At 39.1% G+C, this 27,950-nt stretch overlaps 2 protein-coding genes across 13 annotated transcripts in view, besides 3 other annotated features; both read right to left on the bottom strand.

Moving 5' to 3' along the window:
- NFKBIZ (NFKB inhibitor zeta) overlaps positions 1-759 on the bottom strand; it is a 33,033-nt gene extending 32,274 nt beyond the window's left edge. The window contains exon 1 of the mRNA NM_001005474.3: positions 565-759. The gene's annotated coding sequence lies outside the window, so the exon portion shown is untranslated. The remainder of the gene's footprint in view (positions 1-564) is intronic.
- Positions 518-27,950, bottom strand: part of NXPE3 (neurexophilin and PC-esterase domain family member 3) — a 49,021-nt gene continuing 21,588 nt past the window's right edge. For 8 of the 12 annotated variants that reach the window (NM_001348992.2, NM_001348994.2, NM_001348993.2 and 5 more), the window contains 4 exons: positions 26,760-27,514; positions 21,623-21,696; positions 11,748-11,954; positions 518-7,345 (listed from right to left, as the gene is read on the bottom strand). In NM_001348992.2, the coding sequence (NP_001335921.1) occupies positions 6,795-7,345; positions 11,748-11,954; positions 21,623-21,696; positions 26,760-27,514 (1,587 nt within the window). In that variant the 3' untranslated portion in view covers positions 518-6,794. The remainder of the gene's footprint in view (positions 7,346-11,747; positions 11,955-21,622; positions 21,697-26,759; positions 27,515-27,950) is intronic. The other 4 variants (NM_001348997.2, NM_001348996.2, NM_001348998.2 and 1 more) reach the window with 2 other exon arrangements.
- Positions 705-884: an enhancer, noted in NCBI's record as "active region_20182". NCBI's record gives its function as "activates an Ori minimal core promoter by ATAC-STARR-seq in GM12878 lymphoblastoid cells {active_cell/tissue: GM12878}" and the evidence as "EXISTENCE:reporter gene assay evidence [ECO:0000049][PMID:35858748]".
- Positions 1,035-1,084: an enhancer, noted in NCBI's record as "active region_20181". NCBI's record gives its function as "activates an Ori minimal core promoter by ATAC-STARR-seq in GM12878 lymphoblastoid cells {active_cell/tissue: GM12878}" and the evidence as "EXISTENCE:reporter gene assay evidence [ECO:0000049][PMID:35858748]".
- Positions 1,852-1,931: a silencer, noted in NCBI's record as "silent region_14578". NCBI's record gives its function as "represses an Ori minimal core promoter by ATAC-STARR-seq in GM12878 lymphoblastoid cells {active_cell/tissue: GM12878}" and the evidence as "EXISTENCE:reporter gene assay evidence [ECO:0000049][PMID:35858748]".

The raw sequence follows: 27,950 nt of genomic DNA, 5'->3' as shown, positions 1-27,950 counted from the left end.
AATCTGGGGGTCCAGCCAAATCATCAAATTTCAGGTTTTCCTCATTCATAAAATGGCCATTCATACATTTTAATTTTACAGCTGTAAGAATGAATGAGGGCATGCTATAAAGTATTTCAATTTACTCTGATATATTTTCCCATATAGTTTCATGCCTACGGTTGGTGGGAAAGTACTCCTCTAAACCCACACATCAAATCTCCTGGGAGACTTCTGCCTCGGGATATCATAGTTCTAGGTCACTGACAGAAGATAGTGTTACATTAGATTTATGATACTTCATCACCCATTCTATCGATCTCCTCCATTAGTATCTCAGTCCTTCCTGGGCCTTTAAAGCAAACAGACATGATTCTTGCTATTACTAAACTACAAAAACATCCCAGATTTTCTTTCTCCAAAAAACTATCCCCCAATATTTTGCCCCAAAGCAAGTATGGCTACTCAAACATAGGAGAGTGACTCCAAAGTTAAGAATCTGACTATGGGAATAGGAAAGAAAAAGAAAAAAAAAATCTTACCATTTAAGATATTTTAATAAAATATCAGATAATAAAAATATACCTTTGTGTTTGAAGAGTCAAGTCACACAAATACGTAAGAGCAAATCAATTGTTTCCAGCTGTAATCAGCGATAATAACCCAAGTACGTGACAGCATGAGAAAGACGATCAGTTTCCTTTTGAGGTTACATGATAAGCAGCAGCTAAGCAGCCTTTTTCTCTAAGAACTCGCCGTCTGACCTCGTGGCAAGAGGAGGCCAGCCCCTCTCACTGGCGCCCTTTATAGCGTTCGCTTTCAGTTCTCCACTCTAGTGAGGACGGGGGCGGGGGAAGCTAAGAGCCTGTTTTCTAAAATGCAGAATACGGTCATCCTCTCTTTCGAACCGGGTTGCGTGGGCACTGAGGAGGGCCAGAGGAGGCAGGGAGGGGGCAGCGAGGCCTAGATTTGTGGATTTTTTTTCTGCACACTGGAAATTCCCAGACCAAAAAGGTACCGACCCGAGTCCCGGACATTCCCCTCGAGGGCCGGCTCCAAGACCTGGACTGGAGCCGCAGGGAGGAATCAGAGGCAACATCTACAAACAAAACTTTTTCCTTAAAGACGTCCTTTTAAAATGTCCTAGTGAATCTCCTGATGGGCATTAGAGTTGCCTTCTCATTAGATTCACCTCATCTTATTTCGCTTTTTCTGTGTGGCCCCTAAACGTGAGGGTGCAGTGGGCGGGTGGAGGGAGTTACCTTTTACCATATAGCTTTTACAATACGGCAATCAAAAAGTAGTATCGCAATCATGTGCCTTCACTGACTAATTAAAGGACAAGAAATCTGTGACATAAATAAAGCAATGGTCCTGTAACATGAAGATCACTTTATTTTCAAGGAGTAAGGGGAATGGTAATGGGGTAGATTTAACAGCAAATGAACCACTGCACAAAACTGAAAGGATTTCTCCTATGACATTTAGTTTCACTTCTTTTCCATTTAGGACACTAGCTGCTGTAATCTCGGTACTACTTTTTTTTAAGTTATCTTCCCCAAGCAGTGTTACAATCCAGCTGGAATGGGCATTAGATATACACATCATTAGACTCTTAAAAAGAGGCCCGATGGCCTCTCATTTAACCAGAATATTAAAAAAGAAAATATATGTACACACATATAAATATATTTAAGTTCACACTTTTTTATTTTTTATTTATTTATTTATTTATTGAGACAGAGTTTCACTCTCGTTGCCCAGGCTAGAGTGCAATGGCATGATCTCGGCTCACTGCAACCTCCACCTCCCGGGTTCAAGCGATTCTCCCACCTCAGCCTCCTGAGTAGCTGGGATGACAGGCATGTGCCACCACACCTGGCTATTTTTGTATTTTTAGTAGAGATGGGGTTTCATCATATTGGTCAGGCTGGTCTTGAACTCTTGACCTCAGGTGATCCGCCCACCTCGGCCTCCCAAAGTGCTGGGATTACAGGCATGAGCCACTATGCCCGGCCCACATTTTTTTAAAAAGTTAAAATGTAAAAGCACTTTTAAGAGACAAGTTAGACAGAAGGTGGTGGAGTACATTTTCTGCTCTCCTAGCTTCTGTGTCCTTTAAACTCCTGCCCTCAACCATCCTCTTATCGTCCACCACCTCCATTCCCCTAGGATTCCCAGGTCCCCTTAGCACTCAGGGGCTGTGGTCTCACCTTCAAATGAAAAACAACAACTTCAAAATTTTATTTATTGCACACTGAGGTGTCAAGAATCCTAAGTACACTAATACTACATTGTAGACATAAACCAGGTAGAATAATGCTTAACACAAGAAAATAAATACACTTGAAGTGGAATTTCTGGCATTAGTGACTAGCTGATGTTAAAAAGCTGAATTTACCCAGAATCCACAGAGATAATGCTGAGCAGTTTTTTAGAAAGTTGGGGAGGCTTATTTCTGTTGTTTCCCTTGGGTGTTTATTTCCCTGTACCTCTCTCAGTCATCACTATTTCCTTGAACAGGGTCCAGAAACAGACTCATTTCTGGCATGTAACACATGAATATATAAAGGCGTACCATATTTATTCTTGTCAAGTACCCTGATTTACCAATCTGCAAACTAAGTTTTCAGATTGATAAATGTGAAACTGGATTCAGTTATTAAACTGGATCAAGTTTCAATCTGAAACTTAATAACTGAATCCAGGAAGTGTCAGTTAAATGGTCTTAATTAAAATGATAGTTGTTCAGAATGGCAAAATGAATCATACTGGAACACCAAAGGTCTGTTTTGCATTCGCTGAAGAAAGGTTACTTTTAGTAGGATAATTCTATAAAATGTAACTTGCATAGAAAGGCTTTATTATGGGTTCTGTCTGTCACAAATAGCATCAAATCAATCATCTCAGTTCTGGAATATGAGATTCACTACATTAAATTAATACTTTCATTCCAAAATAGAAATTCATATTTTAAACCACTGAAATTGATATAAACCACTGCTTTAATATTGTAAACCTAAATGTCCAACTATAATGACCAACTTATCTAATAATGAAAACTGCAGTAGCAGAACTATTAAGCAGATCTTTATAATTAACTTATGAAGACTATTTAACATAGAAAAATATTTATATGTAAAAAACACAGACCCAAATTACATATTCTCTATAAGTATATGGTTAAAAAACCTGCAAGAAAATATACCTAAATGCTAATGTTCATTGCATTCAGATGATAGAATTATGGATTTTATCCATAGATTTTTCTTCTAGATTTTATAGTTTTTAAAAATTATGATGCCCCTTATATTTATATTGGGAAATATACATTTAAACAAACTATTATTTGGCTACCATGCTAATATTCACAACCATGTGGCACTAGCCTAAAATAAACTTTTCAGAAGAAACTAAATTATTCTATCTAAATATTCTGGGAAACGTTTAAGTGATATTGGAATCTCTATCAAAATTTCCACACCAGAGTGAAGAAAGACAAATTAGATGTGGGATGAAAGTTGTTCTCACTGATAAGTGAGAGCTAAATGATGAGAACACATGGACACATAAAGGGCAACAACACACACTGGGGTCTATTGGAGGGTGGAGGGTAGGAGGAGGGAGAGGATCAGGAAAAATTACTAATGGGTACTAGGCTTAACACCTGGGTGATGAAATCATCTATACAACAAACCCCCATGACGTAAGTTTACCTATGAAACAAACTGGCACATGTACCCCTGAACTTAAAAGTTGTTAAAAAAAAAATTTTTTTAAGAGAGATGAAAGTGACTCAAGAAGCTGTGTCACCAAATCTTTGAGAGCTATGTCACCAAATCAAAAAATAACAGAAAACCAGACAAGATCATAAGAAATCATTTGCACAATCAAGTGGCATCATTCCAAACCACTGGAGGAGCAATGCCCGCTTTCTTTTTAAAATTCTCCTGGGAAAATTACTCCTCAGCCTCCTTTATAAATCCTTGAGGAAATGTCAAGTTCTTTCACGACAAGAAAAACTCTCAGCTGGGCACAGTGGCTCACACCTGTAATCCCAGCACTTTGGGAAGCTGAGGTGGGCAGATGCTTGAGCTCAGGAGTTTAAGACCAGCCTGGACAACATGGCAAAATGTAGTCTCTACAAAAAGATACAAAAATTAGCTGGGCATGGTGGTACATACCTGTAGTCCCAGCTACTCAGGAGGCTGAGGCAGAAGGATCCCTTGAGCCCAGGAAGTCAAGGCTGCAGTGAGCCATATCATGCCACTGCACTCCAGCCTGGGCAAAAGAGCAAGACCCTGTCTCAAAAACAAATAAATAAATACAAACGCTTCTTTACGAAAGTCTCACAAGTTTAGCTGAAAAGAGATATGGACTCTCACATACCTTATTTCAGATCTAAACATGAGTTCCTCATCTATAAAATGGAGCTAATATCACCAATACTATTGGATCATGAACAGAATTAAACCAGTTATTGGTAAATCCCCCAAAATAATAAACAAGCCATGTTTATTCCCTCATTCTATCTTACCTCTTCTCTTAGTGTTTCTCACAGTGTGGAATACCACCATTGCATCAGAATCACTGAGCACTCGCCACAAAGGTTGGTTTCATAAATCCCAGAGGCATCATGGTCCCTCTTTTTTTTTTTTTTTTTTTTTTAGAGACAGGGTCTTGCCCTGTTGCCCAGACTGGAGTACAGTGGCACAATCAAGGCTCACTGCAACCTCTGCAACCTTCTGCCTCCTGGGCTCAAGCAATCCTCCCACCTCAGCCTCCTAAGTAGCGGGGACTACAGGTGGTGCCACCACACCCAGCTAGTTTTTGTATTTTTTTGTAGAGATGGGGTTTCACCATGGCACCCAGGCTGGTCTTGACCTTCCGGGCTCAAGCAATCCGCCCACCTCAGCCTCCCGAGACTATAATCCCTGCTGGGATTACAGATGTGAGCCAACATCCCTGGCCTTAATTCTTTTATTATTTAACAAAAATTTTTTAGAGATAAGATCTCTTGTCTGTTGCCCAAGTGGGAGTGTAGTGGCGCAATCATAACTCACTGCAGCCTCAAACTACTGGGCTCAATCAATCACCCTGCCTTAGCCTCCCTAGTAGCTGGGACTGTCGGCCCACACCTGGATAATTTTTTATTTTTTGTAGAGATGAGGTCTTACTATGTTGCCCAGGCTGGTCTCAAACTCCTGGCCTCAAGCAATCCTCCTGCCTGGCCTCCCAAAGTGCTGGGATTACAGGCTTGAGCTACCACACCCTGCCATGACTCTTTAATTCTGCATTTTTGTCAGATACTACAAGTGATCCTTAGGTACTGTAAAGCGTAAGGACCATTAAAATTAAACTATTTTAATATATTTTATTACCTCATTAGGCTCAGAAACAATTAAAAATCTTCTTTCCCCCTAAAATACTTTAAAAACTTGAAGGTGTTCCTCAAGGACAGGAAAGTAAGATCTGGGGCCCTCCTATTTTAAATTAAAAACCCAAATTATTTGACCCATTCTTCTAAGGGTATATATTGTTCATACTTCAAGCATCTGTCTTCCTCTCTAAAGCCTCCCTAGTTTCTTCATCTGTCTACTTAGGAGCAACTTAAACTAGACTATAATCTATCACAGCTCAAAAAGAAAAGAGTACTTACTAAATGATCCCAAATTAAACTCGTTTAAAATTAATAAGTCAAATAAAATTAATAATTCCATTCTTCTTAGATAGCCAGTAGGAATAGCAGCTTCTTCCAAGCATGAGAGAATGGGTGTGCCTTTTATGCCCAAATCAAGAAATACCAAAAAACAAACAAACAAACAAACAAAAAACTGTCATGAATTTTAGTATCTTATTAATTTCTAATTAGATTTTAACTTCTAATTTTGGTAAGTAGTTCAAAATAACAACAACAACAACAAAAAAAAAAACACCTGAAACTAGTGGAAAAAACTTCCACAGCTTTATAATATCGTAGCATTCTTTACACAAAAGTCAATTCCTAAACCCTCAAATTTCAGAACATAAAAATAAATTTCCATTTACAGATTTCCCCCTTCCAGTTCCAAAAGTAGTTATTCTAGAGTAAGTATTCAACACATAAAATTTAGCTGAATCAAATAAAAAACAATCACCAAATGCAAATATCAATTCCAAAGCACAGATTTTATATATACTGCTTTCATATTTCCCTTTTGCTTCTTTTCTAGATAAAAGCAGGAAATTGTAAATATTCACTAAAAAACTCGAACCAAGCACATTGGCCTTTTCAAGTAATTCAGAAAAGGTAGATCATCAAGAGAAACTCCTGAGACACAGCAGTCTTCAGTGCATTCACAAGAGCCTCTGACTATAAGCTTTCTCTAGTTAACCGCCAGAAGATGGATTACTTGTGCTATGCATGCAGATGCACTCAATTTCCTTTACCAGATAAGCTACAAACACTCTACTACCAACCAAACTTGTCCCTTCCATCAAAACATTTTTCATACTCTTTAGCAAAGTAGTCACCCCTCCTAGGAGAAGCTAATTCAAATACACTCATTAGCATCTTTGGTTACAAGAGCAATATAGTGTGTAGATGCAGTTAAGAGTTCTACCATGGCTAAGTCAACATTGGATAAAATCCTATAGGTAGATATAAATGTAACCTGCATTTTCTAAGCTCCTTATAAGTCATCATATTAAGTCCAGATCTTTTTGAAATTTTATACTTATTAAGGGCAGTCATCTCTCACTGGGGCCACTTTCTGTAACTCAGGTCAATTGAGAAGGTCATTGAATATGATTCCTCCAGTCCCTTCCAAGACAGGCTAGGTTTCCAAGGGGCACACAAAGGACAAGAACATGTCCAGCTGGTTCTTCACAATAACTTCATCTGGATGCAGCTTGTGCGGTAGATAATGGGCCAGGGTCATCTCCCAGGCATCGACGAGATATACTCCAACCCCTGAGAACATCCTCCGAAGGATGGTGTCCAGCTGAAAGTTGTACCAGTCGCTGTTGAAAAGGCTCACCTCAGGTCCCAGCTCTTGGGCGTTGGCCGTCCGGATGACCACCACGGTCTTTGGGCTTCGATCGAGGAGCCGAACCACTGCTCGACGGATGTTCCTGAGCCGCCGGATGTACACTTCCAAAGGGAAGGTGCTGAAGTGAGACCATACAGCTATGGCAACCACTGTGTTCTTCCCTCCCACAATGCCATTCAGCTCATTCGCCACATAATGGAGCTCATTGCTAAAGACAGTCGTGAAGCGGATGGGTGGACCATGGCAGCGGTATTTGAGCAGGATGTTGTGCTTCTGGTCCACTGCAAGGAAGGGACCCACATTCTTGGGACTACCCAAGTTAAACTCCACTAAATCTGAAACAAGGAAAACTCAAGTTCATAAAAACCTTCAAACCAAGCACATATATTTTGATTATACCTTATTAAGTGGCTTCAAATAACAATTTTTTTTTAAGTACAACAAAAAGGTACAATATAAATGTAAAGGGAATACCTATTTCACTGAACTCTGCCCCCTTTTGTATCAATGGGCCTTTATTCTAACATGTTTATTATTTAAATTATTACATAAACATAACATTCATTATAAATAACACCATCAGTGATAGACTCTACACTACACCTGTCTATGCCTGAAAAACAAAATAACCCATTTTTCTCTAATTATTAGGCCAAGAAATGTTGCTATTTGCACTGATCATTGCAATCTTTTTTATCTATGTCTAAAAAGTTTGGGTTTTTTTACTTTTATTTTAGGTTTGGGAGTGCACGTAAAGGTTTGTTACATAGGAAAATGTGTCACATATTATTTCATCACCCAGGTTTTAAGCCCAGTACCCAATAGTTACCTTGTCTGCTCCTCTCCTTCCTCCCAACTCCCCCACTCAAGTAGACCCCAGTGTCTACTGTTTCCTTCTGTGTGTTCATAAGTTCTTATCATTTAGCTCCCGCTTATAAGTGAGAACATGCAATATTTGGTTTTCTGTTCCTGTGTTAGTTTGCTAAAGATAATAGCCTCCAGCTCCATCCATGCTCCCACAAAAGATATTATCTCAATTTTATGGCTGCATAGTATTCCATGGTACATATGTACCACATTTTCTTTATCCAGTCTGTCACTGATGGGCATTTAGGTTGATTCCACGTCTTTGCTGTCGTGAACAGCGCTGCAATGAACATTTCCTTGCATGTGTCTTTATGGCAGAATGATTTATATTCCTCTGGGTATATACCCAGTAATGGGATTGCTGGGTCGAATGGTAGTTCTGCTTTTAGCTCTTTGAGGAATCACCATACTGCTTTCCACAATGATCGAATTAATTTACACTTCCACCAACAGTGTATAATTGTTACCTTTTCTCTGCAACCTTGCCAGTATCTGTTGTTTTTTGGCTTTTTAATAATAGCCATTCTGATTGGTGTGAGAACCACAATTTCATTGTGGTTTTGATTTGCATTGCTCTAATGATCAGTGATATTGAGCTTTTTCTTCATATGTTTGTTGGCTGTATGTATGTCTTCTTTTGAGAAGTGTCTGTTTATGATAATTTAAATTATAAAAATCAAATTGGCATTTACATTTTATTCTCCTAACAGATAAATATTATTTCTCTCAAGACATGGGCTTTAACTTCTGTTTTATGAGCACATATCAGCAACCAAATACTTCTTTGGGGAAATTCCGTCATTTGTAACAACATGGATGAAACTAGAGGACATTATGCTAAGTGAAATAAGCCACACACAGATGTCTTTGATGTGGAACCTCATGCAATATTTGCCTTATACTGACTTATATGTGGAACTTAAAAAAGTTGAAGTAGAGAGTAGAATAGTGGTTACCAGAGGGCTGCTAGACGGGTAGGTGCAATGGGGAAATATTAATCAAGGTCTCAGAAGGAAAATGTTTTAGACATCTATTGCACAACATGGTAACCATAGTAAATAATCATGTATCATATATTTCAAAACTGCTAAAAGAAGAGATTTTAAATATTCTCACTATAAAAAAGTAAGTATGTGAGGTGATGGATATGTTAATTTACTTGATGTACTAATTCCACAATGTATATATATAAAATATCACATTGTACCCCATAAATATACTTATCTGTTGATTAAAAATGAATGTTTTTAAAAATAAAATTAAGGCAAGTTCAAATGTAATTTTGAAAAATGAAAACAAACACCTCTTTTTGCAATAAGCAAAAGAAAGAAGCAACCCTGTTTCTTTTGACTTTCAATTTTACCCTGTAGATGAAAAATCATGTTAATGTCCTACAGAAAAACTTCCATCTCTATCATGAGAATAACACAGATAGCATCGCAAATTAAAAATTCCCTTTTCTCCCTCTAAGTTGTATTTCAAGGTCCAGTTGCCTGGAGACATTCTGAAGGTCCCAGGAATCAGTGGCAGTCCTTGTTATTCCTAAAAAACTCTGTATAATTCATCACTTAGTACGTGCACCCATGAGGAAAGAAGATGTGTCTCATATCCCTAAATATTCCCTTAAGTGCCTTAAGTAAATGTTGACAATCCAATTTAACTAATATTTCCTTAGCACCTACTTAGTGCCCACTACTATAGGTGCTACAAGCCAGCAATGCTCAGATGGATAAGCTATATAGTCCTTGCCCTCAGTGAGTTCACGGTCAATTTTGAAAAAGTAACATCAGAATATAATTGTCCTATAGGATGGGCAAGGTGGCTCATGCCCATAATCCCAGCACTTTGGGAGGGCAAAGCAAGCAGCTCACTTGAGGTCAGAAGTTTGAGACCAGCCTGGCCAACACGGTGAAACCCGTCTCTACTAAAAATACAAAAATTAGCCAGGCATGGTGTCAGGTGCCTGTAATCTCAGCTACTTGGGAGGCTGAGGCAGGAGAATCACATGAACCTGCGAGGCAGAGGTTTTAGTGAGTAGAGATCACACCACTGCACTCCAGCCTGGGTGACAGAGTGAGACACCATCTCAAAAAAAAAAAAAAAAAAAAAAAAAAAAAATATATATATATATATATATATATATATATATATATATAAATTGTCATATATTCTTAAGGGTTAAAGTAGGTTTCATTTTTTTCTCCTTGCATTTCCAGGTTTCTCTTCTAGATTTTCCTACCTAACTACTACTTAGCATTTAGCCCCATTTTAACTGAATAAAATCTCAAGCTACCACTTTCTTTTGATTAGATCAAGCACTGACACAGGCTTTATTTTTATCAGGTGAAGATATGTCTGTAAAGTATATGGTGGGACGTGATGAAAACAGTCAGTGTGATCCTTGTCATCAAAGGAAATACCAAGCTACATCATTAGAATTTAAGAAGCAAGCAACTACAGACACCTAGGAAGGCCCTCACTGGTCAGCATCACATCAAACCTTGTCTAGCATCAAGCCATACAAAGTATTTCCCTTCTCCTAATGTACAAATTATACTTTATCAAACAAAGCTTAGTTATATCTGTTTCAATTTAAAAAACAAGCAAAACAAAAAGTGGAACTGACTTTACACTTTTGGGGACAATATCTACTTCCCCTTTCCTTCTAAAAATTAAATTTAAAACTAAGTTGAGGCCAGGTGTGAGCCATCAGCACTTTGGGAGGTTGAGGCGGGCGGACTGCTTGAGCATGAGAATTCGAGACTAGCCTGAGCAACACAGTGAGACCATGTCTCTACAAAAAATACAAAAAAATTAGCTGAGTGCAGTGGCTCACGCCTGTGGTCCCAAATGCTTGGGAGGCTGAGGTGGGAGGATCGCTTGAGCCCAGGAGGTTGAGGCTGCAGTGAGCCATGATCACACCATTGCACTCCAGCCTGGGTGAGAGAGTGAGACCTCATCTCAATCAATCAATCAATAAAACTAAGTTGACATAATAAATAAAAAGGCTGATAAAAACAATCACAAACAACTCACAACAAACCATCAGGCTTTACTTTATTAAAAGCCTTGCCCACACATGGCCATTAAAAACAGTTCCCACAAAACTATCAGCTCTCTAAATTGTAAGCAGGGTCTTTATTTCTGCTCCTTCAGGATCCCTCCTTCCTTACCTCATCCATACCCCTTCCAGAAAGAAAAGAATGCCCTTGTGAAGAAGGGGTGGGCCTCCAACCACTGGGGTTTTGTTCTGAGTCTGGAGAACAGCCCCAGAGCCAAGCAGAGAAATCAAGAAGCTAAGAATGCTGGAACTTACCCAGACTCCCTCAGGAGGAGCCAACTCCATCTCAGAGTCACACCAATGGTAGGCCCAATGGATGACACAGGGATGGCTTTGCTGCAAGGATGCAATATGGACTACCATAGGTCTGGCTGCTTCCTTCTACTCAAAGCTACTATAAACTTGGAGTTGGATGAGACAGAACTAGGGGAGAAACAACTGGAAATGCCCACCTCTATTTTACAACCCAGAATATTAGAAGGGAAAGACACCTGTGAAGTGACATGGTCCAGCTGTCTCATCTCACACATGGAGAAATGAAGCCCTAAAAAGTAAATGACTTGTCCAAAGTCATACAGCTCATCAGTGACATAAACCTCAATGAGAACCCAGTGCTTCCATGAGTACAACACAACACAGCTATTGATCAGAAACTGTCACACATCTCTCCAGGGTTTGGGTACCTCTTTAGTCCTACACAGAAATATATGTTTCCTCACCTGATAACCTTTCTTCAGGCACCTGAGTGAGTCTGCTTATTTCAAAGCTGATGTGGGAAAGAGTTACGAAACAAAAGGCACAGTACCAACCTGGAACAAATGTAGTAAGGTATTCAAACCATTGCCTGATTGTTGAGTCACCAAATAAATGCACCACTTTTCTTTGTAAGCACTCTGTAATGTTGTCAGGGTCATTAAACTGACGCATCTTAAACTTTCTGGGCCTCCACTGGTCTTTATAATAATACCCAGAAGGAAAAGTTCCTGAGCCTTGAGATAGTTCTAGACTGTTAGTTTCTGCAAAGAAAAAAGAAAAACAAATATTTTAATATTCTCCTCCAACAATAGATGAAAAATGTCCCAAGAAACAATTATGCCCATGTATTTGTTAGCCTGATAGCATGTGGGAAACATTTCCTGCTGTCAGACCTCAAATCCCAGACTTTTCTCCTGATTAAAAAAAGGTTTTCCACAGCCATAAAAAAGAATGAGTTCATGTCCTTTGCAGGGACATGGATGAAGCTGGAAGTCATCATTCTCAGCAAACTAACACAGGAACAGAAAACCAAACACCACATGTTCTCACTCATAAGTAGGAGTTGAACAATGAGAACACATGGACACAGGGAGAGGAACATCACACACCGTGGCCTGTCGGGGGGTTGGGGGGAAGGGGAGGGAGAGCATTAGGACAAATACAAGGCTTAAAACCTAGATGATGGGTTGACAGGTGCAGCAAACTACATGTATACCTATGTAATAAACCTGCACATTCTGCACATGTATCCCAGAACTTAAAAGTAAAATTAAAAAAAAAAAAGGTTTTCCTTTGTACAAAAATGGGAAGATCTGAAATGGGCATGAAGGTATTGGTGGACAGAAAGGAAAGGAGGGACTTTCAGCATTCCCTCTGCTTACATTTTTTTTGAGATGGAGTCTCACTCTTTTTGCCCAGGCTGGAGTGCAGTGGCACAATCTCGGCTCACTGCAACCTCCGCCTCCTGGGTTCAAGTGATTCTCCTGCCTCAGCCTCCCAAGTAACTGGGATTACAGGCACGCATTACCATGCCTGGCTAAGTTTTGCTTTTTTTTTTTCCGAGACAGAGTCTCGCTCTGTCGCCAGGCTGGAGTGCAGTGGCATGATCTCAGCTCACTGCAACCTCTGCCTCCTGGGTTCAAGCGATTCTCCTGCCTCAGCCTCCCGAGTAGCTGGGAGTACAGGCGTGTACCACCACACCCAGTTAATTTTTGTATTTTTAGTAGAGATAGGGTTTCATCACGTTGGCCAAGATGGTCTCAATCTCTTGACGTTGTGATCACCCACCTCGGCCTCCCAAAGTGCTGGGATTACAGGCGTGAGCCACCACGCCTGGCCAATTTTTGCACTTTTAGTACAGATGGGGTTTCACTATGTTGGCCAGGCTGATCTCAAACTTCTGATCTCAAGTGATCCGCCCGCCTCGACCTCCCAAAGTGCTAGAATTACAGGCGTGAGCCACCATGCCCAGCCTGATTACATATGTTTTTATCAAAGCCAAATATAAAGGAAGACAAAACCAAAGGAAATGTGTGGACATAAGCATTTATCCAGCATTCTCCCAGAAGAGAACAGTTTCTCACCCACATGCCTGCGAGGCAAGTAACAACTTAGACTAATACTTTACACATACAGAGTAGTATTAGTTCACTGTTTTCAGCCCATTAAAAGCAAAGTTAGAATCCATGAATCCCATCTTCAAATTTTAATTTTAATTCCAAAAAAACACCACTTAATATGGAGAACAAACTAATGGCAGACAATCTAACGGATTATTCTCCATTATACAAAAGGTTCAGAAAGTCTTTATATATAATGAACAATGCTAAAAATACATCACCAATGTGTACCTCCTGGTTGTAACCTAGTTACACTTGATAACACAAGCAAAACGACCTTTCAGAGGGAAAGTCAACATCCTTCTGCCCTAACACCTCCTGTAGAAAATGCCACACGTTACATGCTTCAAAACAGACTGTGATGGCTAATATTTCTTGCAAGTTTACTCTGCCTCAGACACTATTCTGAGCAAACGTATTATCTCATATGCTCACAGTAACTCTTTGAAGTAGGTCCTATCACTATCCCTACCTTTCAGAACAGCTAAACAACTTGACCAAGGTCCCAGAGCTGAGCTAGTAAGGAGCAAAGCCAGCACCTGGCCCAAGCAAGTGAGCCCAAAGCCCATGATCTTAACCACTGTGTGCTAGATCACTTCTCAAAAACAGATGTTTATAGATGTTAACCATTTCTTTTTTTTTTTCTTGAAGGTATATATTTATTCATTTCTAACAATTATTCAAACCTACAATCTTCAAGAAACCACCAGGTTATATCATTTTCTTACACAACCTTTATCAAAGTCCAGTCATTCTATAGTCACCTATTAAGCCACAATTTGGACTCTAAATGCTTACACAACTCAGAAATTTAAATTTAAGTGACTCCCCTATTTGTGACTACTTTTAGCTTATTTGACTTGACATTATCTGTGTTACTCCAAATTATTTTGGTTTTTATCCCTCCAAAGATGATGTTCTATTTGACACAGAGTGCATATCTAATCTTTTTTTCTTCGGCATCTGCTAATTCTTTGCAGGTTCAGAGCCCAAGTAGAAAAGGAAACTGAACGCTGATTTTAAAAGCTTTATTTGGCAAATGCGATTATCAAAGAAAAATTGTCGGGGGCATGTAGGGTAAACATTTCCTAGGCTTGTTCAAAAATAATTTCTCAACATGTTATCAAGTGTAGCTTTAATATGTTACTGCACCTTGTGCAAAGCTCCCTCATTATATCAGTACATCGAGGCTGCATAGTTAGAGAGCTCCAGAGACGACACCTAGGGCCCACAGAAAACATTTACTAGAATGAGAATTAAAAGTTATTTTGATGTTACAATTTTTTACCACTGTTAATTCGGTAGACTCGGTTATTCTGTGTCAAATATGTGTTATAAAGAAAAGTATATGTCACACAGGAAACAATTACCATTTCCATTCAAATGTTAATTATATTTACTACCAGAGCTAAGGAAAGCAAATCAATTACTAAATCTGACATTAATTCTTTAAACATGCTGCATGCTACATGAGAAAAAAATCATATTTTTTAAATGAAATGCACATACCTATGTTGCCCCCTTATGGTCAACTGGGACAAAAACATTTCCTGACAATTTTAATATGATTTTTAAGAAGTCTGTGGCTGTTTAAATGGTGTTTCTTGGAACTCACAATGCAGTTCATGTAAGATAACTGAGATATGAAAGTCTCCTAAATAGATAATATAACCCCTAATGTACTATTCACATGGAATAAAAATAATTAAAACAAAAAATAAAAATGAGTTATTACTCAACTTTATGGTTATCTTGAAAATTGCTGGTGAAGGAAGAAGTTTAAACAGAGGTGGTTGTAAAAGCAGATATGAAGATTTGGGCAAAACCAGAAGGGATATTTTTTATTATTTGAAAGTAATGTCCCTGCATCTCTAAAATTTCTTGGCTTCTCTTTAAAGCCCATGGTTTGCATTTTCCTCCAAAGGGTGTCACGCCATGTAATCCATTAGCCATAATGAGGGCTGTCTGGGCCAAAGATGGAACAAAACGAAAGAGAAAAAGGCAGAGAGATAAATTTCCCTAAATCATCCAGAAAGAGTTGGACGAAAAGGACACAACGTGAATTGAGGTGGGGCGGGGCAGGGAGGGCTGCGGGGTGAGATGTGCAGCAAACCTGTCCATTAATTTTATGGTATGGAATTGTCTGCAGAATTAAGAACAGTAAAAGGCAGGACAAAGGGGAGTACACAGTTTATAAGGGGGAAAACAAGACAGAAGAAATGGGATCAACCAATTCCCTGCACCAGAGACTGCCATGAGCATAGGAAGCTTGGGATAAGGTCAGTAGGGAGGGACAGCCCTCAGCAGGATGAGGAATGAGGATAGTGTATATTGAGCTGGTTAGGAACACTCTGTCAAGTGCTGGGAATATGAGAAGGGCCCAGCTACACAGTAATTGTAATGGCTTGAGTTTGAGTTTACTCCTTGAATTCCCCCTATGAAACCTTGGAAATTTAATTTTCTTTCCTATATATTTTAGTCCCCTAAAACCTCTGCAGTTTACAGAGGTAAGCTAAGAATGCTATATAGATAGAAATTCTATAAATTCATAGACTGTTGAATGGGACCTTAGAGAGTAGCTAGTCCAAATATCTTTTTTTTTTTTTTTTTTTTTTTTTTTTTTTGAGACGGAGTCTCACTCTGTCACCCAGACTGGAGTGCAGTGGCGCAATCTCGGCTCACTGCAACCTCCGCCTCCCGGGTTCACGCCATTCTCCTGCCTCAGCCTCCTGAGTAGCTGGGACTACAGGCGCCTGCCACCACGCCCGGCTAGTTTTTTGCATTTTTAGTAGAGATGGGGTTTCACCGTGTTAGCCAGAATGGTCTCATCTCCTGACCTCATGACCCACCCGCCTCGGCCTCCCAAAGTCCTGGGATTACAGGCATGAGCCACTGCGCCCGGCCGTCGAAATACCTTTTAAAGATGAAGAAAGCAAGTCACAGAGTGACTTGGCAAAGTTTCTCAATAAGCGTAGAGGCAGGTAGTGGTAGAGGTGGTACCACTTACAAAGAAATACATTTTGCTGATATATTGAGGAGGCTTCCTTCCCTCAAATGCTATCAGTTAGTAGTTTTATATGCAGAACATGGGCCCTTTGATTTTCCCGGTTAACGAAATTAAAGATATTCTGTATCAAATTATTCTTTCCAGTAATTGGAAAGTAGTTGTCTTTAAAATAGCTTTGTCCCTTTGACATCTGCATCCAGATAATTAAATTTTTTAAAAATAAAATAGCTTTGTCCCATTTGTTATAACATTTATCTGCCATTTTCTAGAAATCAACATCAGATGAGGTCTCATCCACAAAATGACTAGTTTCGTTTTTACTGCATAACATGAAACACTATCATTCACTTCATCATTTGTATACTAGAAGGTTGATAAATTTCACTACTGCAGGCCAGGTACAGTGGTGGCTCACACCTGTAATCCCAACACTTTAGGAAGCCAAGGCAGGCGGATCACTTGAGGTCAGGAGTTTCAGACCAGGCTGGCCAACATACAAAACCACATCTTTACTAAAAATACAAAAATTAGCCAGGCATGGTGGCATTGTGCCTGCAATGGTAGCTACTTGGGAAGCTGAGGCAGAAGAATTGCTTGAACCCAGGAGGCAGAAGTTTTAATGAGCCGAGATCACACTACTGCACTCCAGCCTGGGCGACAGAGCGAGACACCTTCTCAAAAAAAAAAAAAAAAAAAAAAAATTAACTACTGCAGGCAAACCAAAGCATCAAGACATCATTGGCCATACCTCCTAAACATGGTTAAGGGGCAGTAGGGAAAATGCTAGATGAAGAGTCACGGGACCTACTCTAAGTCTGACTCCACATTTCCAACTCTTGAGACTTCAGAAATCATTTAAATTTTCATCTTATTCCCTAACTATACCCTCAGAGTCTAACAAAGAAGGACTCAAAACGATGACACAATAAGTGAAATCTCTGGACTTTGGTCACATCATCTATAAAATGGGTCAACTACTAGTTATTTTGAAGGGTTATTGTGAAAATTCAATACTGTAATAGTGTGAATAGTAAAGCGCATGCTAGGGTCCTGGAAACATCCTATATGTTCTAAATGTTCAATAACTTGATCTAGATGGTAGTTATTTTATTAGTTTTCTATTGCTGTGTAACACATCACCACAAACTTAGTAGCTTAAAAACAAGAGACATTTATTAACCCACAGACCTGCAGGTCAGGAGTTTGGGACATCGCATAACTCTGTTCTCTCCTCAGAGTCTCACAAGTTGAATCAGGCTATTATCAGGGCTGTGTTCTCTGGAGAAAAGCCTTCAAAAAGGTCATTCAAGGCCGGGCGCGTGGCTCACGCATGTAATCCCAGCACTTTGGGAGGGCAAGGTGGGTAGATCGCTTGAGCTCAGGAGTTCGAGACCAGCCTGGCCAACACAGTGAAAACCCCGTCTCTACTAAAAACAGAAAAATTAGCCAGGTGTGGCTGTAATCCCAGGTACTTGGGAGGCTGAGGCACGAGAATCGCTTGAACACAGGAGGCAGAGGTTTGCAGTGAGCCAGGATCGCACCACTGCACTCCAGCCTGGGCAACAGAGCAAGACTCTGTCTCAAAAACAAACAAACAAAAAAAAACAACAAAAAAAGTTCATTCAAGTTGCTGCCAGAATTCAGTTACTTGTGGTTGTAAGACTGAGTTTCCCATTTCCTTGATGGTTATCAGCCAGGAGATGCTCTCCAGCTACTAGAAGTTGCCTATATTCCTAGCCATGTGGCCCCCTTCATCTTTAAAACCAACAACAAAGAATCTCCCTCACATGGAATCCTTCTTACACTTTGAATTTCTTCAGGAAGAACATGGCCCCTGTTAAGGGCTTATCTGATCTAAGGTCAGGTCTACCTAGGATAATGCCACTCTCTTAAAGTCAACTTTGTCATATAACATAATCAAATCATAGGAATTATATACCATCATATTTACATGTCGCTGCCACAACTCAAGGGGAAGGAGATTATGTAAGAGCATAGATCACTGGAAGTCATCTTAGTATTCAACCTGCCATAGCTACAAAGATACACACAAATGTAAAACTTCATTGTTCTTATCTATACTGTTGCTATTAGATCAAGTCTTATTCTAAACTCTCAGTAAGTTCCCCCAAAAAATATAACCTCAAGTTGTTGATGAGGTCAGAATCTGTCAAGGTCCCTGAGCCACTCAGCTGTGATAATCTGGGGACTACATTACAGGTACTAATGAAAACTCAGCAGTAATTCTGGCACTGGGAAAACCTGACATAAACCAGATGCTTGCTCTTAAAAAGGTAGTCAGCTAGAACTAAAAACTGTTTTTCCTTGCTTTTGACTGGAATTATGCCCACAAGTAGCAGTAGCACTGCCAATCTCAGGCAATCTAAATATGAATCTTAACAATAGTTTTACCTTGTAAGAATATTAATTAGCTAATACATAAATACAATTTCACAGGGAAAAAACTTCAAAATATAGGATTCATAAGTGAAATAAAAGTAGAAATACTGTAAACCCCTTCTAAGGCTAAGGCAAAGAAAATACAAGACAAGCCTCAAATATCTTGTGGTGCCAGAAACTAAGGAAGTGCTCAAAACAAACAAAAGGATGACAGCACACAGGATGACAAAAGGGCACAAAGAAGCCAAACTGAAAGTGTTCCCCAACTGCCAAAACTGGAACAATTTGAGCAAAAATAAAAGCAAATAAAATAATGATTGAATTGGATTGGATTATAATTTTTTTTCCTTCATTCCAAGGAATGAAATTTTCATGAGTCTACACTGATATAAATACTTAAAATGAAGAAGGGACAACTCTTCTTTGCAAAAGAATTCCAACTAATAAATGTTGAAAGAATGAGAGACATTAAAAGTCACAATTAGAATTCCACAGAAATCATTGCCACAGGCAAGATCTGATGAACCTTGATGAATGCTAAAATTAGTTGGTGAAAGTTTAAGCAGAAACAGAATGTTTGCATAGAATGAAGCAAAAGAAGGAAAAAAAATTATGAGCCCTTGATTTAGGGTCTTTGAATGCCCCCTGCTGGTCCACAGAGTGAAATTCAATGAAGTTCTGCCAAGCTGGGTTCCTTCCATAGTCCATAAATCAATTGCCCTTCTCTTTTCTTTCCAGTTATATACCTGTTACAACAAGATGGTTTTCCTATTCAAAACCAGGATATTCTGCTCCTACTAATTCATAGTTACTTTCTTCCTCTAAAAATATATCAAAAGGCTCACTAATTACCAAATCTATCTTCCCTCTAACCAGAAGAGTACATCATAAACCCACAGCCACTTCCTGGCTAATCCTCAAGACTTGTCAGGTACAGGTAAACTTTCCAAAGTTCCTCCCACTGACCATCCCTGGGACACCTAGGGACATCACAATAAGGGCAAGCCAGTCGAGTCTGTGAGAAGAAGGACAGATCCAGTAGTGGGAGACAGGGCCTCCTGAAGATGTCGGACATGGAGAGTGTTTAGAGCGCAGTACTACTGAAGGACACCTTGTCTACTGACATCTTGACCTCAGGGTTGAGGCCCAAACAGATAAAAGATAAATGTCTCATATATATATATATATATATATATATATATATATATATCCTCTAAAATTAGTAATTCATTTGGTTCAAGTAAATCAAAAACAGCTCTTCATCAGGAAAAGACTGGGAATTCTTGTGGCATATGATACTAGAGACAAGAGATATAAACTGGCAGTGCCCTGGCTGCATATGGGCCAAACAGATTTTATTTAGCCCATACAATATTTTCAAAGTCTTGAATTGGATGTCAATGTTCTAAAATATGGAGATATCACAGTTAAAAAATCAAAGTTTCTGGTTTCTCTTGGAAAAACAAATCTACGGAGCTGGGCATACAGGGTTTGTTTCTACATGGTAACAAAGCAGCAGAAACTGAAAAGAGGCTGCCCCTTGAGATGGTCCTTGCTCTTCAGTTCCTTCCCCACCACTCATACAAGGCTTGTGGCTAATATCCACTCTGCTTGATCCACAGGTATTAAATATCAAGCCCCTGCAGCAAAAGGGTTTGCCAACATCTGCAGAGTGCAGTACTATTAGTTAATATACTTTTAAAAGCTAGAAGGACCTTGCCCGCCATCTGCATAAGCCTCACTAGTAACATTCATCCCTTCTTTCTAAAAATCACGATAGCTAATTATATCTATTCTGCAAAATTTACATTTACTGCTCTGAATTTTGTTCTTTTACTATTAATATTCTACACCAATAAATCAGAGTCACCCGAAAAGTTTGTTAAAACTTTCTTGCTCAGCCCCACCAGCCAGGGTTTCTGTTTCAGTCATCTGAGATAGGACCTGAGAATTTGCAATTCTATCAGGTTGCCTGGTAATGCTGATGCCACTGATCCACAGACCACACTTTGAGAAGAGCTGCTATTCTCCAACCCAATGTTATTTTAAACATTTCCATGATAATTTTACCCATATCTCTAGAGCAGCAATGTCCAACACAACTTTTTGTGATGATTTAAACATTTCCATGATAATTTTACCCATATCTCTAGAGCAGCAATGTCCAACACAACTTTTTGAGATGATGGATAAATTCTACATAAAATGCTGTCTACATATAGTTATTGGGCATGTGTGATTAAATAACTAGATTTTGAATTTTATTTAATCTTAATTGATTTAAATTTGAATCACTACAAGTGACTAGTTGCTATCATATTGGACAAGGTTGTTCAAAAGACTCTTGAGGAGCCAAACAGAAGAGGGCTGGCAAGAGAAGAAAACTTTTACATGAGCTTAAATAGCAAAACTCGGCCGTGCACATGTCTGTAATCCCAGCACTTTGGGAGGCCAAGGTGGGAGGATTGCTTGAGCTCAAGAATTCAAGACCATCCTGGGCAACATGGCAAAAATTTGTCTCTGCAAAAAAAAAATGCAAAAATCAGCCAGGTGTGGTGGTGTGTGCCTGTAGTCCCAGCTACTCGGGAGGCTGAGATGGGAGGATCAATTGAGCCTAGGAGATCAAGGCTGCAGTGAGTAAAGATTGCGCCACTGCACTCCAGCCTAGGTAACAGAGCAAGACCCTGTCTCAAAAAAATAAAAATAAAATAACAATAAATAGCAAAACTCAGAATTATGCACATAAGATCTGATTTTTTTAATCAAACAGTACTTTTAATATTTTCAATTGTGCCCAGAAGTAACTATGGCATATAAGTTTTTGCAACATAAATGAAACGACAGAGCCTCAACCCAGTTAGTAAGAAAAACAACAAATCATCAAGCTTATTCTTTTTTTTACCTTTTATTCTCCTGGGAATCACAGTTACCCAATCAGGTCCACTGGAGTTGACTGGCATTTTGATATTGACACCACTTTAAGAGGAATAAAAAAGCACAAGCTCAGGTTCAGGAACATTTATTTTCAGATATATGTCTTTATTGGCAAATGATAAAATGACTAATTTCACGGAGCCTTATTATGATGAAATATACTTATGAATGTTAACCAACACAAAATAATAAACTGGGTCTCTTGTAGTAAGCAGGTTTTATGTACATAAAAACTGAAAAGAAATTAAATTGATTCTTAAATTTCACTCCACTGTATACTGCTAAGAGTGCAAACTCCAAAATGACCAATTCTGGTTTGAATTATGTACTCCCCTTGGACTCAGAGAATGGCTCACACTGACAAGAATGTCTATTTTGTCATTACTTAGTTTTCAGGCTGCAAGTATACGCTGCATTAAGTCATGTATCAGATTCCTCAGGCCTTTTCCAGATCTGACAGGAGTCCTAGTGGGGACACTTGCCCCCCAGATACTTACTCATGCAGTACTTTGCTCATCATTACCAGGACTCTTTAGTGTCTGTTCCCCTTACTAAAACATGTACTACTCAAGGGAGGCAGCAGGGGAAAAAAATAAAATAAAATAAAACATATACTACTCGAAGATAAGGGTGGTGCCTCATTCATCTTTGTATCCTAGCACAGGCCCTGGTCTAGAGTCCACACTCAGTAAATATTTTTGGAGGGCTGCATTAAAACATGGGGGAGGGTGGAGGTAAGGAGAAAAGCACTCGAAATCCGGGGCAACTATTCCAGAAACTGAGTCACAATAAAACTAGGTCTCTTGTACTTAGACCAAAAACAAAAACATAAAATGTTAACTTCTCAAATTCTTGATATGGGAATGTGCAGTCATTTTTTATTATTTCATCAATTTCAGAAAAAACTGTTTATTCAACAAATAATTCTTAAGCTTCTTAAGCCAGGTACTGTCCTAGAATCCAGGGCTACTACAGTAAGCAAAACACACAGCATCTCCTTCTTCATGGAGCTGACATGGAGACAGACAAAAAACAAGTAATGAAGGAAGTGTACAGGCCTGGCCACATTACAGCATAATCAAATTTCATAGCTTAAATAAAGTGATTTTTAAGAGAGCACATATAAACTACTTTCATGAGTTTAGACTTTTATGGTAAGAAAAAAATATACAATTTACTTGTCTATAGTTATAATAATTATATAATTATTATTGTACAATAATAATTTTCTTACAAAAACATAATTTCCTGTAAAAATATTTGCAGGAAAACTTCTTCTATAATTTTCCTGCCAAAATATTTAGCCTCAATCTAATCACATGGAAAGTGAAAACAATAAAGCAAATCCAAAGCAGACTGGGCGTGGTGGCTTACGCCTGTAATCCCAGCACTTTGGGAGGCCAAGACGGGCAGATATCCTTGAGGCCAGGAGTCTGAGACCAGCCTGGCCAACATGGCAAAACTCCATCTCTACTAAAAATACAAAAATTAGCCAGCTATGGTGGTGCGTGCCTAGTACTCCCAGCTACTTGGGAGGGTGAGGCACAAGAATCACTTGACCCCAGGAAGTCAAGTGAGCTGAAGGTTACAGTGAGCTGAGATCACTGCACCGCACCCCAGCCTGGATGACAAAGCGACACCCTATCTCAAAAAAAAAAAAAAGGACATTCTACAAAACAGCAACATCAAAATTGCCAATGTTGTACAAAACAAAATAGGCTAAAGAATTCTTTTGGATTAAAGAGATAACCAAACACACTGAGTAAGCATAGATTAGATTAGTTAAAATTAAAAAGATAGCTACAGAAGTCATTATTGGGACAACTGAAGAAACTTGAATATCTAATATGAACTGCATATTAAATAACAGTACTATAACAATGATAAATGTCCCAAATGTGATCATTATGGTTATATGTTAGAGAAAGTCCATTTTCTTAGGAGAGGCATATTTATGGAGTGCAGTGCCATGATGTCTGCAACATACTCTCAGGTGGTTCAGGGGAAAAAATTATACACAGATACATATAAACACAAAGAAAGATAAAGCAAAATGTGTCAAAACAATAATAGTGAATCTAAGTTAAAGGTATATGAGTTCATTGTTATTATTCCTGCAATGTTTCTAAAGATTCAATTTTTTAAACACAAAGTTAGAAAGAAAAAAGTAGCAATCATGCTAAAATAAAAGGGAAATGTTGTAGGTGATAAGCCCATTCTTTCAAAAGGCCTTCCCTTATATTAATAGGATCTTTAAGGAAACCCCTGTTGTCCTTTCCAAAAGTAACACTTTTATTCCCTTATAGATAAAGAACAAAGATGACATATTTTAATTGTTCAACTGTCATTTAGGGAACCAAATACCAAGGCTAAGCTTCTTAATTCTTTCTGGTTTAAGTAAGGTTATGAGCTACCAAGGAAGAGAAGTAAAAAAGGATATCAGCTCAACATATTTGGGCCATGAGCTCAAAACAGTATACCCAAAGATCCCCCAAAAAATCAATTTCAATCTTTTTCTTTTTCTTTTCAGATGGCCTTATGCAATATTTCAGAACTTTAACAGAATAAAGGGTGGAAAATGAAAATCAATTATGAGAACTCTGTCAAATGTTTGCTTTCCAAAAACTTACACCACCTCAGACATTGTTTTCTCAGCAAACTTCCAGGTAAATAAAATTCCGCAATTATTCTACAACAATGTACCATCAACCAGCCTCACCCAGGATATGCAAGGAAGGGCAGGGACAAACACATTATTTTATCCTTGTGGGTTCACGGGTGCTTTTTTGTTTTTAATGGTAGAATTTATAGTCAGAAATACTTTTAAGTTTTACACTAATTTAGTTCTCTAAACTTTCTCTATTTTCCACCTGGAATTTGCGTAAATTACTATGTTTCTTCCTCTTTGCTAGGCCACTAAGTAGACTGACAACGTAACTCTATAGGGCAATTATAGTTAACAATCATTTACTATATATTTCAAAACAATTATGACAGTGGAATTGGAATGTTCCCAACACAAAGAAATGATAAATGCTTTAGGCAATGGATACTCCAATTACCCTGATTTGATCATTACATATTATATGCTTGTATCAAAATATCACATCTACCTCAAAAATATGTGCAACTAGGATGTATCCATAATAACTTAAAAATCTAAAAACACAACTCTAACGGGGTATGGTGGCTCACATCTGTAATTCCAGCCCTTTGGGAGGACAAAGCAGGAGGACTACTTGAGCCCAGGGGTTCAAGACCAGCCTGGGCAACATAGTGAAACCACATTTCTACAAAACATACAAAAATTAGCTGGGTGTGGTGGCGCACACCTGTAGTCCGAACTACTCGGGAGGCTGAGGTGGGAGAATCCGTCGAACCCGGGACGTTGAGGCTGCAGCAAGCTGCAATCATGCCACTGCACTCCAGCCTGGATGACAAAGTGAGACCCTGTTGCAAAACAAACAAACAAACCAACCCTCTAAAATAGGGTAATTGAGTAGTCTTCATATATAGGCAAAAAAGTACACAGAAATAAAATAATCTGCTCAGTCACTAATAAATAGCATGTCTGAAACCTGAACCCACGAATAAAATGAAAAATTTTGTTTTGGTTTTGTTTTGAGGAGTTGTGAAATTTAATTTTGTTTTCATTTTGTACTGAGCCATAGAAAATACTAGTCTTCTCAGCAGTACAGTAAACACTGTACATTGAGTAGTGCTCCCTCTGCTGGCCTTCTAAAAGTATGGCATGAACCCACTACATATGTACATAATCTGGTATGACCAAAAGCTGACTTCAGGGTGGAAAACTGAAGAGTTTTATTTTAGGAGCTCCTACAAACCACATACTTTATGGTAGCAACTTTTCTCCCATACGGTAATGAGTGGACATAAAGTATGAAATTTTTAGGGTGCCCAGATATCCTTAACAAAAATACCTCCCTTTTATCCAACAAAAAAATTCTCTCTACCAAGGAATGTTTAAAAACAATATATTTCACTAAAAAGTAAAAAACATGTATACATTCTTTCAAACAATTGTACTTTTTGTTGAGACAGGGTCTCACTCTGTTGTCCAGGCTGTAGTGCAATTGTGATCACAGCTCACTGCAACCTCAAACTCCTGGGCTCCAGCCTTCCTCCCACCTCAGCCTCCCAAAGTGCTGGGACTACAGTCATGAGCCACCACGCTTGGCCAGCATGGTACTTTTTAACCATGTAGCTTTTATAATTTTTTATTTCTTAGTGATGTTATGGAATGTTGAAGAAAACACAAATTTTAATTCATACTGGTTCCATATTCCTTTCTGCACATTATTCCATGTATTTCTCATCATGCTGAAAATATTTTAAGCTTACATTTGAAATAGAAATTTGAACACAATACTGCAATAATTTCAACAACTATTTAGCTTAAAAAATATAGTTTTCTGTGGTATTCCTGACTTCCTATGCTTATTAAGTCAACCCAGCAATGTTGCCATATTCATAGTTTTTTAATCAGTAGGTTCAAATGATTTTAAAAACTGTTATTATGTTACTTTTTAAAGTTTCAGTTCATTAGATACAAAGATAAAACACCAGCCTGACTACCAGCCCTACCAGCCCTGTTCTTGGATTATTTTTTTCTTTACATAAAATAGATGGGGTCTTGCTATGTTGCCCAGGCTGGTCTCAAACTCCTGGGCTCAAGCGATCCTCCCGTTTCAGCCTCCCAAAGTGCTGGGATTACAAGCATGAGTCACCACATCTGACCCTTAGATAACTTCTATCTGTTCTGTGAATAAGGGATTTTACTTACACAGCTACTGTGTAAACATGCTATGTGGTTCTAAAGGAAAACACAGATATGAGGGTAAAGAACAAAAATTCAAGGGTAAAAGGTCTTTAATTTGGACTCAGATAAGCATTAAGCTTCATTTTTAAAACACTAATGAAAAATACAAATCTATGTTTTTTTTTTTATTCACTACCTCTTCTGTATTGGGCCAAGTTGAGAGAGAGGTAAGAAACACATACCGAATACCAGAAAGTCTCCTAAATGGGACAAGGACAGTGGAAAAGAACTCTTCAAATCATCCCCAAGAAAAAGCAGTACATACCTCTGGAAGAAAGCACTCTCTGCAGCGGTTAGGAGACCTTTCAGGTATCCACCTTTGAAATGGGTAATTCTGCTGCTGCAAGGGAGCTTCTTTGGTTTGAAGCAGAACCAGGGCTCCCCAGTGTAGAGGTCTGTAAAGTTACACAGGGGCAGATTCCCAGGAAGACACACGTTGCACTCAGTAGTTTCAGAAATTCTTCCTGAACGGAAGAGACTCTTGAAATAGACCCTGTCTGGTTTATCTTCCTGTAAGCGCTGAAGAACTCTGATCCCTTCACTGGGGTGGACCAGAGATACGGATACTTTAACTTTGCCTGGCCATAGCAAAGTAAAGAAAACCTTGTAAAACCCATTCTGGTAATCCACCACCCTGCCCACAGCCCCAGCCTGCAGCTTGAGGGAGTGAATTCTGGCCTGCAGGTAGTCTCCACCATACTTCTTGGGCTTTCTTTGAAAATCCTGCACATGAACCAGCACCTCAAGCTGGCTTCCCACCTTAAAGAAGGCAGCAGAGTTCAAGATGACAAAGTAGCTGGAAGAAGGGTCAGTGCTCTTCACAAAGGGGACTGGGCCCACATCAGGAACCTGCCGGTGCAAGGCAGCCAGCAAGGAGTCCTCCTCCATGCGCTCCTGGCTGGACAGGGTCTGCTGATCATAGCCACAGTAGGGATTTCGGCTAATTCCTGTCACCTGGGAGGAAACAAACTGTCCACTGCTGTCGATGAAAGTGGCTGAAACAGTCTCATGGTCCAAGTACTGAAGAAGAAGACACAAACAACAGAAATTACCACTATAATAGGTCTCTGTATTTTGGCATAAATTCAGAGGGCTCCCCACACTTCTGTGAGTTTTAGCTCCAGGAGCTCAATCAGATTCTCACAGTGAATATCAAAGAAAAATCCCCTTGGGCTTCCGGGAAGAGAAAGGGAAAAGGACCCATTTTGAAGTATGCAGAGCACTGTGTTGTTCTTAACAAAGCTGCCCCTCAAGAGAAACCACTTTATCAGAACCTAGCCTATTGGAGTTTTATCAGAGCCTAACCAACTTGAGAGAAGGGAAATATCCAACTCCAGCCCACTCGAGCCACCCAGTCCAACCTAAGATGGAGAAACACCAAGAAAAAAGTAAAGGAATGGAGAAAGATATACCATGCTAACACTAATCCAAAGAAACCAGTAGTAGTTATATTAAT

The sequence above is a fragment of the Homo sapiens genome, chromosome 3 (assembly GCF_000001405.40).
Source record: "Homo sapiens chromosome 3, GRCh38.p14 Primary Assembly".
Classification (NCBI taxonomy): Eukaryota; Metazoa; Chordata; class Mammalia; order Primates; family Hominidae; genus Homo; species Homo sapiens.
Note: the sequence above shows the minus strand (reverse complement) of the source record. Positions and strands in the feature narration are given on the sequence as shown.